Here is a 17,594-nt window from a genome sequence, read left to right on the forward strand (position 1 = left end):
GGCTATTTGCCATGACTGGTGGCCAACTTTGGAATGAATTTCTAATATCTATGGAATTTCCTGTAATATGAGCATTAGCTCCTTAAGTTAGAAGCCGGAAACTCACTTTCCAAGTTCTTCCTACTCATGTGAAACAGACTTCACTAATAAGTCACACCACCTCAGTCTGCTCAAGAAGAAAGCAAAGGGAGAATGCAGAAACAGCATGGCTTTTAGCTTCTCACACAGTGTCTGGCTTTCTGAGGAAGTGGAAGCAGAATTTCTCATATCCAGTGTCCTGCCTCAGTGGTGCAAGCTGCAACAATGTCTGTGCCAAGTGACAGAGGAATTAGGTTCTTACCAGGGCAGCCATTAGGTACAAATTGGACTTTGTTGGCTATTTCCCATATAAGCCTGAATTATTCCATCTGAAGATTCTTTTATACTTAAATCGGCTAGGGATTATGTTATTTGTATCCTGAAACTCTGACTGACACCTAGCCTCAGAGCCATATAACTCAAAATAACAAACTCACAATAATTAGTCCATACTGATATGCTAGATGGCACTAATTTCTTCTTTTTCTTACTAAATTTCTTAAACTGTTATTTTTTAACATCATATAATTCCTCTTGACCTTTCTTCAACTAAATTGATTTTAAAAGTCACTCAAATCTACCTCAAAGTATGTGTGTGTGTGTGTGTGTGTGTGTGTGTGTGTGTGTGTTGTGGGAAGAAATGGTGATGTAAAAGATATAGAATCTTACAACTTTTTATCTTGCAGCTGGAACTGAAAACACAGAGGTATTAAGAACAACTGGAAGTTTTGGAAGATAGTTTCAAATTAATCACAATGAAAATAGGTCTGTAAATAAAATCATGTTTTTTTCTAAAGAAAAGCTGATATAAATATACTGCTTCTCATTTTTATTCATATAAAATGCATAAGTATTTTAGGCTACTCTATTCCAAGAAATTAATTTTCAAAAGTGTATTTGGCTCTGAGTGTATAGATAAAAGACAGTACTCAAATGATTTTTTTTCTTAAGCATTTATTTCAGGTTTATTTTCGGACACCAGTATGTGGAAAATGGTAATAATAATAAATTTGAGACCCGGCTCAATAATGATTTTTCTCTGCAATGGTGGCAACTTTAATCTTCCCGAATTCCTACTCTCTTCCACTGGATGTTGCAGGTAACATTTGTCTACAAGCAGATTAGGATACTGAGTTTAATGTGCACGTGTTTTCTATGCGAGCCCTTGGGATCAACACCTGTGGATAGCAAAGGAGGGGAAAAGGATTAGGCAGAGGGAAATGTCGTGCTGTAATCCAGAGCCAGCAATGGTCTTAGCCAATCCCACTTGGAGCTTTGGAGTTAAAATGTCTTGTTGCATTATCTCAAATTGGGCCAGAATTGTTGTTGGTGAGTCAGTTCAGGTTTTTGACTTCACTAACAAAAAGAATTTGAGAGCAAGTCCAAAGTAAGAGTAGGCCAATGAATTTATTGCAAAGCAAAAGTAGACTCTGAGAGGCTGAGTAGGATGCTTCAAGGGAGAGAAAGCCCTTAGTGCCTTAAGGGGAATTCCTTTTGTGGGAGCTGTACATATGTATTTATAAAATACATAAAAGTGAGGTCAAGTATGCAAAGGTGGACCTGAGGTTGGCGCATGCATTCAGCATTAACATGCTCTAACACACATTCTATGAATCATTAGCATCTAAAATCTCCACCTAGGAGTGTGGTTTTTTACTATTAAAATGACGAAAATGTCATTACAATCTAAATCCTGAACCTAGCTGCTCAAGTGGGACCTCAGAGATGTCTCTAGCTCTCCAAGGCAGGAAATTGTAGCTAAGAGCCTCTTGGGCTTTTGATGCTGATAGGCTGGAAATGAGGGGAGCCTCATCATAAACAAGGGCTTTTGTTCTCTTTCCCTGGGCGTATCAGGAGCTTGTATCCACCTGGCAGCTGGTATCATGTAGCACCGCTTATCTTGCAAAAGAGTTAGGTGCATGGGTTGTGAAAGGAGCCCACTGGGCTTCACACAAGGTGACAAGTCGGTATGGCATCCTAAACTTACTTATCCTGCTCCAGAATGGCTGGTCCTTTCTGCCTCTGCTCTGTCAGTCATCCCTCCTGGGCTGACTTGGAAAGGATCTTGTACTTGGTCAGGTAGGCTCGTTCTCTGCAGTTCAGGTAAACCCTGAAGGGGCTGAGATTTAAATGCCACCTGCCAATAACATTCCTAGAAGCTAGAACAATAAATTTTTCCTCTAAGGGGCAGCTGGGCAGCTCATAGTGTCCACAACGCTATATAAATAAATAAATAATAGTGATGTTATAAAGCACTAGCAATACACACACACACACACACACACACACACACACAGTGTTTCATTAAATCTTAACCCAATAAAATTCTAATCAGCAGATATTTTCACTTTAAAAATATCTCTACAAAATAAGTAATACATCTCTAAAATTTAAAATTAAAGAATTTTCTAACAGTTTTAATATAAAACCATTTTTAAAGTATTTTTACAACTATTTTAATTTAATTTTATATTTTATTTAATTCTTATAATTGATTTATAATTTTAATTTTTGATTTCTCCTCAACTTTTGAGGGTCAAATTATAACAATACATGACTAGACCTAGAAGGAAGCAAGCTCAGCTATTGAGTATCCCAGGAAAGTAAAGCAGGAACTGGTTTCTGAACCTTGCACTCACTGGTGTATATTTCATCTCCTTTTACTTGAACTGTTACCGGATTTTCAGCAAGAATAGAACTTTGTTTGCTCTATGGAATTCTGTAAAACTCATGGTGAAAAAAAGAAACATGTGATAAGGCCCTGCTGCCTTACTGCATTTCTGGTTCAATTCCTTCTGAGTAAACTGGTGCCAGCCAGGCCTATTGTGACCTTGTTAGTCTAATTGCTTACTTGAGCTCAGGTAAGAACTATAGATGAAGTGAACTTGTTACGACCATTGCCATGTTTTATTTACTGATGCTATGAAGTGTTAATCATCTCGTGTTTAATACTTAAATTTATACTATTAGTGGTCATTTTTAGGTGTAAGGTAAAATAAAATAGAATTGTTAAACCTAGTGTCATCTAAATAACCCCTTCCTATATTTAATGTCTTTGAAATGTCACTTTTCAATATTAAAATATTATATATATTTGAGATTGAAACTCTACCTTCTCTTCTGTTCCACAGTTGCATACCAATTCCCAAACACATATTGTATTATTTAAATTAGAATGTCTTTATAATACATTTTAATATCTGGTAGGAACAACCTTTCCTATCTTTATCACATATTTTATAATATTAAAATAATTTTTATAGGTTTCTACTTCAGGAAGTTGTATTCTTCCAAAAAAAATCCTGGTTGATATTTTTCTCACTGGAACATCATGTAACTTTAAATGCATTGATTAAGAATTAATACTCTTGATATATTGCTGTGTAATTTGTGTATGTGTGTGTGTGTGCTATGTCATCAAAGCCTGAACTCAAAGTAATTTTAGCTTAAAAATATATATCTATATATACATATATAAATAAAGAATACTTGGAATATGGATATAAGATTAGAGGCTGAATACAGTTCTAACTAAATTCCTGCCATTAATGTTATGGAAATAGAAATTGTGTTAATTTTTTTTTGGTAATACCTAATAGGAAAGCATGAGAATGCATTATTGGTGGACTAGACATTTTGAGAAACTTTCAAAACTGAAATCAAGCAGGGATTGGATACATCAAAAACAAAAAAGAAACACTCCTGAGAAAAGGATTGGAAGATGGACCAAGGCACTTCAGAGTAAAACAAATATTGAAATATTTCAAATTGCATCCTTATTTCATCTGTTCATCAAGAGGAGTCTTAACTCTATGAGTTTTGTCTGCATTCTGCCTCTTCTTCATTTAAAATGAATAATTGTGTATTTCAAGTGAAATGTCTACATTTTACTGATCTTTGATATAGTGTAAAGAGTTGTGCTTCACAACCTCTTCTAATGTTTACTTATTTTCATATCTGTGGTTTCACTGAATGCTTTACTCTCATTTTTACCTTGACTTTCTTACCTTTTTTCTTGGTTGGATTTTTCTGAGCTTTATCTATTTTCTTGTGACTTTGAAATAAAAAATTTCTTTGATATTTTAATATTTTCAATAATTTTCTTCTTATTGGTGTCTTTATGTTTATGAATTCCTTCTTTCAGATTTCCTTTCTGGAGACTCATTATTATTTCAAATCATTATATTTTTTAATGATGATAACAATTATCATTTTTTTTTAGATGTTAGTTTCTGCAATGCTAAAGCACTTTATAAACCTAGCATGTTTACTTTCATTATTTCTTGTTTAATAATAAAGTAATTCAATCAAATCATTTTCCTTTAAATTTGTCATATCATCAAAGTTCTGAAAATGTAATGTTCTCTTTACTTACCCTTATTCTTCAAACAGTTTGTTCAAAATTATTTTATAAAATTTGATCTGAGGCAAACTGGGATCTGTTGGAGACCTGATATTCAGTCATACTGAATTTAAATAGGCCACATGGTTAGGGATCCTTTGTACTACAGTTAAGATGCATGCTCTGGGCTGCCTTTTGTGCTTCCTGCAGTTGTATTGTAACAAGACTTAGGTTAAGTCTGTTACCTTTTTTGCCCTTTGGATTCATGCAGCTGGATGTTAGGAGGGCCAAGGCCTTTTTGTCCTTGTGTGATAAGTACTCCCTGTTTCTCTTATAGCATATGAAACTGGGGCATAGGAAAGTACTCTGCCTTGAACTACACAGTCTTATCAGATCCATTTTGGCATGCGACCAAAAATGATCAATTTCTCCAATCTCTTTGAAACTCATGGAAATATTTTAGTTTGTTCTTTCCCCTCACTTCAAGGATAAAACCTATTATCCTCATATTTTGGGGTCTCCAATAATTCTTGCCATAGCTATGCCAGGCCACTATCTTAAGGAACAAAAGACAATATGATAAAAATCAGAGTTGTGGTGAGGTACATTACCAAGAGTGGCTATTGGCTTTGAGACAAACATATCCAAGCCCTCAATCTGAAACATTAGTGAATGAGATCTTGCTTTGGAATACTGAAGCAGGACTGGGTTGTATGGAAATTAGGGTCATCCTTAAGAAACCTGAGATTTTAAAGATAGCTTCACTTTCCATGGATATGGTTCAACATGAAAATACTATGTCTTTGTTTGCTGGGCCCAGAAAAAACTCAAGACAGAATAGGCAGAGCTTCAGTATATGGGTTTTATAGGCATTGGTGAGTGGAATGCTTTTCTATAGCCCGTAGTGTATGTATGTTTAATTATCTATCCCCTCTTTTTTTAATCGTCTGGGATATAGGATATCTCTCCTGGGAAAGTAGATGTCCCACCATGAAAGGAAGAATTTTAGGAAATAATTATTTTCTTTAGTTGGAATTCTGAAAAGAGAAATATTTCTCTTTACTGATACTCTGGAATAATTCTGAGTATTCTAGTTTCAAAAATTATAAATGTTTTCTAAGTTCTTAAGAATCAGACAATTTGTGTTAATTTTTTTTCTAACTCATAAAGAATATATTACTTTGGCATAGAATATGAGGTGTACAATCTTTGTATTTAGAAAATGACACATATTGCATTATTTTCTTACATTTTTTGGTTCAGAAATGTTTGATGGCAATTTGCTTTTGTTTTCCTACTAACAAACTGTCCCTCTATACATCTTTACACACATATACACATATACACATGCACGCTCAAGAGCTTCAATTTATTATTAAAATTCAGAAAATTTCCCAACCTCTAAATCTTTTTTAAAAAGTAGATCTCCTTTGTTGTTGAATACTTTTTTTGCCTTAGTTCAGGGAATGTATCTTAAGGTATTTTTAAAAGATAATTGATTAATTATTTACAATATTTAAACTGCTTTTTATTGTGTTGATTGCATTATATATTTTGGTAATTAACCTTCATGTTTGAAAGCCACATTCGTAACCGTAGATTATTCTGCTTTAAAGATATAATGACTTTTTGAATATTGTTGAGTATATAAATTATAGTTAGTTGACTTTTTAAACTTTCTTATAGCAAATTTGTCCTTCAGGGAAAAAAAGCATTTTTGTTTTATTCTGCCAAAAGGGTCTCTTTTTTTTAGCTACTGAATAGTTTCATATGCTTAGGAATAATCATTTATTTTTCTTCTATTTTATAAGAACATCAATATTTAATTTTAATAGATAAAAACCTCTTTAATTAGGATTTTTATTGAAATATTAAAGTCTGATTTAAAAAGAGATAGTTGAGTTTCTATTTAATCAGATCAGAGGTTTCACTGTCCAAAACCAGAAGAGTGTTTATTTCCAGCTTTATTGAGATATAATTAACAAATAAAAATTGTATATATTCAATGTCTACATGATATAATATTAATGTATGTATAATGTATACATTGTGAAATGATTAACACAATCAAAGTAACTAACCTATCCATCACTACCCATAGTTACTATTTTGTGTGTGTGTGTGTGTGTGTGTGTGTGGTGGGATCATGTAAAATCTAAGTAAGTAAATTTCAAGTAAACAATACAAAACAATACAGTAGTATTGTTAACTATAGTCACCATGATATACTTCAGATTCCCGAAACTTATCCATCTTTGTTTGTTTGTTTGTGGCGAAATCTTGCTCTGTCGCCCATGCTGGAGTGCAGTGGCATGATCTTGGCTCCCGGCAACCTACGCCTACCGAGTTCAAGCGATTCTCCTGCCTCAGCCTCCCGAGTAGTTGGGGCTTCAGGCGCACGATACCACACCCAGCTAATTTTTGTATTTTAGTAGAGATAGGGTTTCACTATGTTGGCCAGACTGGTCTCAAACTCCTGACCGAGGTGATACACCTGCCTCATCCTCCTAAACTGTTGGGATTACAAGCGTGAACCACCGTGCCTGGCCAAATTTACTCATCTTATGACTGAAAGTTCACACTCTTTGACCAATCTCTTCATATCCCCCAACCCACAATCCCTAAACAAGCACATTCTACTCTCTGTTTCTATGAGTTTGACTTTTTTAGTTTCCAAATATAAGTGAGGTTATACAGTATTCATCTTTCTGTGTCTGGCTTATTTCACTTAGCATAATGTCTTCCAGCTATACCCACGTTGTTGCCATGGCAGGATTTTCTTCTTTTTTTGTGGCTGAATGATATTGCATTGTGTGTGTTTGGGTGCCCGTGTGTGTGAACACATTTTCTTTATCCATTTATCTATGAATGAACATGTGGGTTGTTTCCATATCGTGGCTATTATGACTAAAGATGCAATGAACATAGGAGCTAAGAAATCTCTGAGATGCAGGCGGCTGGGCGTGGTGGCTCAGGCCTGTAATCCCAGCACTTTGGGAGGCCGAGGTTGGCAGATCACGAAGTCAGTAAATCGAGACCATCCTGGCTAACGCGGTGAAACCCCGTCTCTACAAAAATACAAAACATTAGCCTGGCGTGGTGGCGGGAGCCTGTCGTCCCAGCTACTCGGGAGGCTGAGGTAGGAGAATGGTGTGAACCCGGGAGGTGGAGCTTACAGTGAGCTGAGATCGGGCCACTGCACTCCAGCCTGGGTGACAAAGAGAGACTCCGTCTCAAAAAAAAAAAAAAAAAAAAAAAAAAAAAAAAAGATGCAAATTTCATTTTTTTTTGGATATATATTCCGAAAAGGGATTGCTGGATCACACTATAGTTATATTATTAGTATTTTGAGGAAATCTATACTATTTTCCATAGTGGCTATATAAACACACAGTTGCACCAAGAGTGCACAAGAGTTTCCTTTTCTCTACATCTTCACCAACAGGTGTTATATCTTAATTTTTTGGAAAACAATCATCCTAACATATGTGAAGTGATAGCTCAGTATGATTTTAACTTGCATTTCCCTAATGATTAATGATGTTGAGACCCTTTTCACATACCTCGTGACTTTTCAATATGTCCTCTTTGAAAAAAAATGTCTATTCAGGTCTTCTAGTCATGTTTAACTTGTTTTTTTTCTATTGAATAATATGATTTCTTTATATATTTTGGATATTAAAAACTGATTAGATACGTGGTTGGCAAATATTTTCTCCCATTGTGTGTGTTGTCTGTTTGTTTTGTTCATTGTTTCCTTCACTGTGCAGAATCTTTTTAGTTTAATGTAGTTCCACTTATTTATTTTTGCTTTCGTTGCCTGTGCTTTTGGTGTCATGTCCAAAAAATTATTGTGAATATCCATGTCAAAAATTTTTCCCTATGTTTTCTTCTAATAGTTTTACAGATCTCACATTTAAGTCTTGAATCCAACTTGAATTTATTTCTCTATATGGTATAACTTAAGGACTAATTTCATTTTCTTGCATGTGGATATCCAGGATTTCTGAGATTGTTTATTGAAGAGACAGACAATCCTTACCCTACTGTGTATTCTTGCCGCACTTGTTAAAGTTAACCATATATATGTGGTTTATTTCTGGGCCTTCTATTTATTCCATTGTTCTAGTTGTCTTTTTTTTTTTTTTTTAGACAGAGTCTGGCTCTGTCGCTGGCTCTGTCAGCTCACTGCAACCTCCGCCTCACTGCAACTTCTGCCTCCCCGGGTTCAAGCGATTCCCATGTCTCAGCCTCCTGAGTAACTGGGACTACAGACCTTCGCAACCATGCCCAGCTAATTTTTTGTATTTTAGTGGAGATGGGGTTTCAGCATGTTGGCCTGGATGGTCTGGATCTCCTGACCTCGTGATCCACCCGCCTTGGCCTCCCAAAGTGCTGGGATTATAGGGGTGAGCCACTGTGCCAAGGCAAATTGTCTATCTTTATGCCAGCACCATATATTTTGATTACTCTATAATTAAAAAATGAGGGAGTGTGATATCACCAGCTTTATTCATTTCTCACATGATTCCTTTTATAATTTGGGATTTTTTGTGGTTTATTACAAAGTTCAGGATTATTTTTCTCTTTCTGTGAAAAATGCTATTGGAATTTTAATAAAGATTACACTGAATCTATAAATTGCTTTGGACAATATGAAAATTTTAACAATATTAATTCTTCCATTTCATGAACATGGGATATATTTCTATTTAAGTCTTTTTCAATTTCTTGTATAGTATCATATAGTTTACAGTGTATAGATCTTTCATCTCCTTGGTTAAATTTATTTCTAAGTATTTTACTTTTTTGGATGCTATTGTATATGGGATTGGCTTCTTGATTTGTTTTTAAATATTTTATTTTTAGTGTATAGAAATACAACTGATTTTTGCATATTCATTTAAGATTTTTTTACTCCACTCTTTATTTATTTTTCTTGTGGATACACAGTAGGTGTTTATATTTATGGGGTACCTGAGATCTTTTGATGCATGTGTGCAATGTGAAATAAGCACATCATAGAGAATGGGGTAGATATTCCCTCAAACATTTATTCTTTGAGTTACATACAATCCAATTACATGCTTTAGGTTATTTTAAAATGTACATTTAAGGTGACTATAGTTACCCTGTTATGCTGTCAAATAGCAGGTCTTATTCATTCTCTCTATTTTTTGTACCCATTAACCATTACTACCTCCTCCCTTAGACCCCCACTACACTTACCAGCCTCTGGTAACTATTATTCTACTCTCTATGTGCATGAATTCAATTGCTTTAATTTTTAGAACCCACAAATAAATGAGAATATGTTATGCTTGCCTTTCTGTGCATGGCTTATTTCACTTAACATAATGATCTCCAGTTCCATTTATGTTGTTGCAAATCACTGGATCTCATTCTTTTATATGGCTGATTAGTACTCCATTGTGTACATGTACCATATTTTCTTTAACCCTTTGTCTGGTGATGGACACTTACATTGCTTCCAAATCTTAGCTATTGTAAGCAGTATTGCAACAGGCATAGGAATGTGGATATCTCTTTGAAGTACTGATTTTCTTTTTTGGGGGGGTATACACCCAGCAGTGGGACTGCTGGATCATATGATAGCTCAATTTTTAGATTTTTGAGGAAGCTTCAACCTGTTCTCCATAGTGGTTGTACTAATTTACTTCTCCTCCAACATTGTACAAGGGTCCCCTTTTCTCCACATTTTTGCCAGCATTTCTTGTTGCCTGTCTGTTAGATGTAAGTCATTTTAACTGGGGTGAAATATCTCATTATTGTTTTGATTTACATTTATCTGATAATGAATTATGTTGAGCACCTTTTCATATGCCTGTTTGCCATCTGTATATGTCCTCTTTGAGAAATGTCCATTCAAAAGCTTTGCCATTTTTTTGATAGGATTATTGTATATTTTCCATTAGAGTTGTTTGAGCTCCTTACATATCTTGGTCCCTTCTTAGAAGGATAGTTTGCAAGTATTTTCTCCTATTCTGTCTCTATGTTGGTTGTGTCCTTTGCTGTGCACAAGCTGTTTAACTTAATGTAATCCCATTTGTCCATTTTAGGTTTGACTGTCTGTGCTTGCGGGGTATTTCTCAAGAAAATTTTGCCCAGACCAATGTCCTGGAGAGTTTCCTTAATGTTTTCTTGTAGTAGTTTTATAGTTTGAGGTTTTAGATTTAAGTCTTTAATCCATTTTCATTTTTTGGTATATGATAAGAGATAGAGGTCTAGTTTCATTCTTCTGCATATGGATATCCAGTTTTTCCAGAACCATTTATTAAAGAGACTGTTCTTTCCCCAATGTTCTTGGCATCTTTGTCAAAAATGAATTCATTTTAGGTGTGTGGACTTGTTTATAGGCTTGCTACTGTTTCATTGGCCTATGTGTCTGTTTTTATGCCAGTACCATGCTGTTTTGGTTACTATATCTCAGTAGGGTAATATGAAGTCAGTTAATGTGATTCCTCCAGTTTTGTTCTTTTTGCTTAGGATACTGGTTATTCTGAGTCTTTTGTGGTTCTACATAAATTTTAGATTTTTTTTTCTGATTCTGTAAAGAATGTCATTAGTATTTTGATAAGGATTGCTCTGAATCTGTAGATTGTTTTGGGTAGTATGGACATTTTAACAATATTGATACTTCCAATCCATGAATGGAGTTTTTTTTTTTCATTTTTTGGTGTCCTCTTCAATTTCATTCATCAGTGTTTTACAGATTTCATTATAGAGATTTTTCACTTTTTAGTTGTTGATTTCTATGTATTTAATTGTATGTGCAATTAATATAAATTGGATTACCTTTTTATTTCTTTTTCACATTGTTCAGTGTTGACAGAAATGCTACTCATTTTTGTACATTGATTTTGTATCCTGCAACATTACTGAATTTATCAGTTTTAATCGTTTTCTTGTGGAGTCTTTATGTTTTTTCAAATATCACATCATATCATTTGCAAACAAAGATAATTTGACTTTGTTTTTTTCCAGTTATATCTTTTGTTTGTCTGCCTGTGCTACCTAGGACTTCCAGTACTGTGTTGAATAACAGTGGTGCCAGGGGGCATACTTGTCATGTTCCAGATCTTAGAGGAACAGCTTTCAGTTTTTTTCCCATGAAGTATGATACTAGCTGTGGATCTGTTGTGAATCACTTTTATGTAGAGATATATTTCTTCTGTATTCAGTTTTTTTTTTTGAGAGCTTTTATCATGAAGGAATTTTTAATTTTATCAAATGCTTTATCAGGATGTATTGAAATGATTACATGGCTTTTCCCTTTCATTCTGTTGATATAATGTATCACATTGATTGATTTGCATATGTAGAAACATTTTTGTAGCCCAGGTATAAATCCTATTTGGTCATGATAAATGATCTTTCTAATATATTGTTGAATTCAGTTTGCTGGTATTTTGATGAGAATGTTGGCATCAATCTTCATCAGAGATACTACCTTGTAGTTTTCTTTTTTTGATGTAGATCTGGTTTTGGTATCAGGGTAATACTGGACTCAGAATGAGTTTGGAAGTATTTCTTCCTCTATTTTTCAGAATAGTTTTAGTAAGATTGGTATTATTCTCCTTAAAATGTTTGATAGAATTCAGTAGTGAAACCATCAGGTCCTGAGCTTTTCTTTACTGGGAGACTTTCTATTACACTTTTGATCTTCTTACTCATTGTTTATTCAGATTTTGGATGTCTTCCTGGTTGAATCTTGGTAGGTTGTATGTGTCTAGGAATTTGTCCATTTCATCTAGATTTTCCAATTTATTTGCATAGAGTTGCTCATAGTAGCCACTAATGATCTTTTGAATTTCTGCAGTATCAGTTGTAATGTCTTTTACTATTTCTGATTTTATTTATGTTGGAAGAAAAGCTGAGTGTTGGGAGAGAAGCTGAGTCAGGGCTTGCATGTCTGCTAGACTTGCTGGCTTCTTACTTCTAGCACTCCCATTATCTCAAGTAGCCTTATGTTTCAAAGAAAATGGTAAACTGTCACAGCTGTAGCTCATTTGCTTGATACACCACTTCCTTTTAACCCCCACATCCTCACCAACTGTTTCTTTATTTGATCACCAGTAAATAGCGTGGGGTCCCATAGCTTGGGATCATCGCAACTTCCATACTAGCATTGGCCCCCTGGTTCCACTTTCTCTCTTAACTTGTCTTTTCTCATTCCTTTGACTCTGCCAGACTTTGTAGCCCCCACAGCCTGGTGTTGGGTCCGATCACTCCAACATTCCTGGCACCCAACATGGGGCAATGAAGACTCTGGTGAAGGAACGCTACAGTGTGTGAAAGCAGAGGATGCATTGTCAGAGGACACCAGAGGATGACTGAAAGAAGCTCGGTGGGAAAGCTGAGCACTCAGAAGAACCAGGGTAACAATGGGACAAAGTGAAAGCAAACAATTTGCTTATTTGAATTTCTTAAGGCATATATTATGAAGAGGGGGAATGAAAGTTAGTACTCAGAATTTGTCATCACTCTTTAGTACAGTAAAGCAGTTTTGCCCATGGTTTTCGGAAAAGGGACTATGGAGTTGGATGAATGGGAGAGAATTGGAAGAGATTTTTAAAAGTCTTATAAAGATGGAGTAAAAATTCCAGTTTCCATTTGGTCAATGCGGGCGCTAATAAAGGCAGTTCTTGAGCCATTTCAAACAGATGATGAGGCAGATTCAGATGAGGAAAAGGAGGATGCGTGTAAAAAACTAAACTAACTTCAGACTCTGAGTGTGAGGAACAACTACCAGAGGAGATTAAAGAAAAGAAAGGAAAACTAAAAAAAGTATGTTTTACTAGCCTGTTGGCTCCACCTGCTGAATTAAGTGAATGGCCACCTCCTCTCTCTCCTCTTAATGGGTGAGAGAATGAATTAGCTGAATATATTAAGGCTTGCTATGGCATTGGAGGTAACTTACATAAGGCTACTCTTTTAGCTCAGGCTATGGCCGGATTGAAAGTAGGAAAAAATATACCCCATTTCTCAGGCTCTTGTTTCAATTGTGGCCAATTTGGACACACAAGAAAGGAATGTAGAAAAGGAAATGCTATCTAGTAATGGAAAAACCTCATTTGCAGGACCTCAGCAGCAAGTTTTTCAAACTGACTTTTCTTCTGCTCAAAGGGCTGAACTTATGGCTGTGATAACAGTGTTAAAAACTTTTAAACAGCCAGTAAACATTGTTTCCGACTCAGCCTATGTAGTGCAAACCATGTAAAATATTGAATGTGCCTTAATTTGAAGTGTGACTGATGAACTACTTAATCTTTTATTTCATTCTTTACAGCAAGCAGTGCAACAAAGGCATTCCCCTTTCTATATCACTCATATGAGAGCACATACTAACTTCCCTGGCCCTTTAACTAAACTTAATCAAAGGGCAGATGCATCGGTGTCTACGGTCTTTGCTGATGCACAAACATTCCATTCTTTAACCCATCTTAATGCCACAGACCTTAGAAAAAGACATGGTCTATCACAGAAACAAGCTAAAGAAATGGTACAACACTGTTCTGCCTGCCAAGTCCTGCATCTGCCACATCAAGGAACAGAAGTTAACCCTAGAGGTTTATCTCTAAATTCCATCTGGCAGATGGATGTAACACATATTCCTGCTTTTGGAAAATTGTCCTTTGTTCATGTTCAAGTAGATACCTATTCACTTTTTATCTGGGCCACATGTCAAACAGGGGAAGCCACAGCTCATGTTAAAAGACATCTCTCATCTTGCTTTTCAGTTATGGGAATCCCCGAAAAGAATCAAAACTGATAATGGACCAGGATACTGTAGTAAAGCCATGGCTAGATTTTTTCAACAATGGAATATTACCCATACTACGGGTATTCCATATAACTCACAAGGACAGGCAATAGTGGAAAGAGCTAATCGTACTTTAAAAACTAAAATATGAAAGCAAAAGGGAGGGGATCAGGAATATAAGACACTGCATATGCAATTGCATTTAGCTTTATTAACATTAAATTTTTAAAATTTACAAAAATATCAACCCATGACTGCAGCTGAACAACACCTGACAGGACAAAAGGAAAACAAAAAGGCTAGACAAGATGTATGGTGGAAGGATGCACATACAAAGAGCTGGGAAAAAGGAAAGATAATTATATGGGGAAGGGGATTTGCTTGTGTCTCTCCAGGTGACAATAAGGTGCCTGTGTGGGTGCCCACCAAACATCTGAAGACCTATCATGGGCCACAACATCTAGTGGACCCACCTGTACAGTGCACATTGAAGGTTTAAGGATTGCTGTTTTGCTATACTGTTGTACAAGAAGGATAAGCCTCAATTTGCTTTCTCTATGCCTTCTGTTAATCAGAAAAAGCCTGCTTCTTGTTATCAATGGTAAGTTTTACCCTGCGGTAATTAACCAAAGAGGCAGAAGCTGAGTTATAAATGCTTCAGCAATGGCATGCTTCCCAGCTACAGAAAAAAAAAAGAAAAAAAAGACAAAAAACAAAAATCTTTGCTTCTGTTTCAGTAGATTTACTAACACGGGGGTGAGGGTATGCTTGTGTTTTTGCAGGAGATGAACAAACCATATGGGTGCCCTCAAGATGTGTATGACCATGGAATGCGAGACTGAAGGGACCCATGGATCCCAACCATGGACCGAGTTCCCCCAGTATGAGCCATGAGCCAGTTGAATCTGAATGCGAAGATGGAATGAGGACTGACTGAAGTCACACTGACATCAACCCCCATAACATGGGGACAGATTAAAAAAACCACACAGGAAGCTGAGAAACTGCTGGAGTGCCAGGGTTTTACCTTTTGCTGGGATTCAGAGGTACAATAGATGCTTCATGGACCAATGCTTTCTGACTGAACTCCTCTCTACCCTGAATACAAGAGATCCTAATAGGTAGGCAGGAATATCATTGCCCCCATTCAGCATGAAGAAGTTACAGAAGACAGACCTTCATCCTTCTGGAACCTTAGAACTGAGGGTCCTCTTGTAAAAGGGAAAGGGGAAATATGTAAGAAGCATTCAAACCACAGCAACTGTATTTTAAATAAGGGCTAAGAAAAATGAAGCTGGACCACCAATCGGCAATTAAGGGCTGCACAGCCTGCAATTGCCTTGATCAATTAATTTAAGAAAAAAAAAGAGGATCTTCTGGATTCAAAGTTGTGTTAGGTTACTCTTAAACGCCATCTGGAGGGCAGAGATGAAAATCTCACCCTCGATATTGAGAAACTAAAAGAGCAGGTTTCTGAAGCCTCTCAGGCTCACTTAGCCCTGCTCCCTGGAACTGATATTTTGAACAAGACAGGCGATGGGTTGTCTACAATCAGTCCTCTTAAATGGATTTAGGTCATTGGAAGCTCTACACTTGCAGATTTTGTTATAATAATTACGTGCTTGTACTGTCTCCTTTTGGTCTGCAGATGCGGAAGCTGCTGCTGGAGAGAAAGCCACGGTCGAGAACAAACAATGATAGCTGTGGTGGTTTTACAAAAAAGAAAAGGGGGCCATGTTGGGAGAAAAGCTGAGTGTTGGGAGAGAAACTGAGGCAGGGCTTGCATGTCTGCTAGACTTGCTGCCTCCTTACTTCTAGCACTCCCATTATCTCAAGTAGCCATATGTTTCAAAGAAAATACTAAACCATCACAGCTGTAGCTCATTCACTTGATACACCACTTCCTTTCAACCCACACATCCTTACCACCTGTTTCTTTGTTTGATCACCAATAAATAGCGTGGGCTCCCAGAGCTTGGGGACTTCGCAGCCTCCATACTAGCATTGGCCCCCTGGTCCCACTTTCTCTCTTAACTTGTCTTTTCTCATTCCTTTGACTGTGCTGGACTTCGTCACACCCACGTCCTGGTGTTGGGTTGGATCACCCCAAAAATTTACTTGGACCCTCTCTCTTTTTTTCTTAGTCTGGCTAAAGGTTTGTTCAGTTTTGTTTAACTTTTCAAAACACCAATTTCTTTTTTCATTGATCTTTGTATTGTTATTTTCATTTCAATTTTATTTTTTTCTGATCTTATCTTTATTATTTCTTTTCTTCTAGTAATTTTGGGTTTGGTTTGATCTTACTTTTCTAGTTCCTTAAGATGCATTATTAGATTATTTGAAGTTTTTCCTCTTTTATGATATGGCACTTACAGCTATAAACTTTCCTCTTAGTACTGTTTTGGCTGTATCCCATAGGTTTTAGTTCTTTGTATTTTCATTATCATTTGTTTTAATAAGAAATTTTCAATTTCCTTTTGAATTTCTTCATTGACCCACTTGTCATTTAGAAGCATATGGTTTAATTTTCATGTATTTGTATAGTTTTCAAAATTCCTTCTTGTTACTAATTTCTAGTTAATTTCCGTTGTGATCAAAGAAGATGCTTGATATTACTGCAATATTTTGAAGGTTTTAAGACTTGTTTTGTGACATAACATATGGTCTATCCTTGAGAATAATCCATGTGCTGAGGAAAAGAATGGGTATTCTGCAGCTATTTGATGAAATGTTCTGTAAATATCCATTAGATCCATTTGGCCTATAGTGCAGATTAAGTCTGAGCTTTCTTTGTTGATTCTCTCTCTAGAAGATCTGTCCAATGCATTTATTATTGTACTGAGGCTTATCTCTCTCTTTAGCACAATCATATTTGCATTGTGTATCTGAGTGCTCCAGTGTTGGTGCATATGTATTTAAAATTGTTATATCCTCTTTCTGTATTGACCCTTTTATCATTATACAGTGAACTTCTTTGTCTCCTCTTGTACTTTTCGTCTTAAAGTCTATGTTCTCTGATATAAATATAGTGACTCTTACTCCTTTCTGTTTTCCATTGTTATGGAATATTTTTCAATTCCTTTATTTTCAGTTTATGTGTTTCTTTATAGGTAAACTCTTTCTTGTGGGCAACAAATCAAGGGGTCTTCTTTTTTCCTCCTTTCAGCCAGCCTGTCTTTTGATTGGAGAATTTTGTCCATTTACTTTCAATCTTATTATTGATAAGTAAGGACTTACTCAAGCTATTTTGTTACTTGTTTTCTGGTCATTTTGTGGTCTCCTCCTCCTTCTTTCTCTCCTCCTGTCTTCCTTTACTGAAGATGATTTTCTCTGGTGATATGATTTAGCTCTTTGCTTTTTATTTTCTGTGTCTCCATTGTATGTTATTTG

At 35.9% G+C, this 17,594-nt stretch overlaps 1 long non-coding RNA gene across 1 annotated transcript in view; it reads right to left on the bottom strand.

The window, feature by feature from the left end:
- Positions 1-1,015: 1,015 nt before the first annotated feature.
- Positions 1,016-17,594, bottom strand: part of LINC02383 (long intergenic non-protein coding RNA 2383) — a 35,014-nt gene continuing 18,435 nt past the window's right edge. Inside the window, exons 2-3 of the long non-coding RNA NR_146993.1 lie at positions 2,066-2,295; positions 1,016-1,256 (exon numbers count right to left, since the gene is read on the bottom strand). This is a non-coding gene — a long non-coding RNA (long intergenic non-protein coding RNA 2383). The remainder of the gene's footprint in view (positions 1,257-2,065; positions 2,296-17,594) is intronic.

This window comes from Homo sapiens, chromosome 4 (assembly GCF_000001405.40).
Source record: "Homo sapiens chromosome 4, GRCh38.p14 Primary Assembly".
Taxonomy (NCBI): domain Eukaryota; kingdom Metazoa; phylum Chordata; class Mammalia; order Primates; family Hominidae; genus Homo; species Homo sapiens.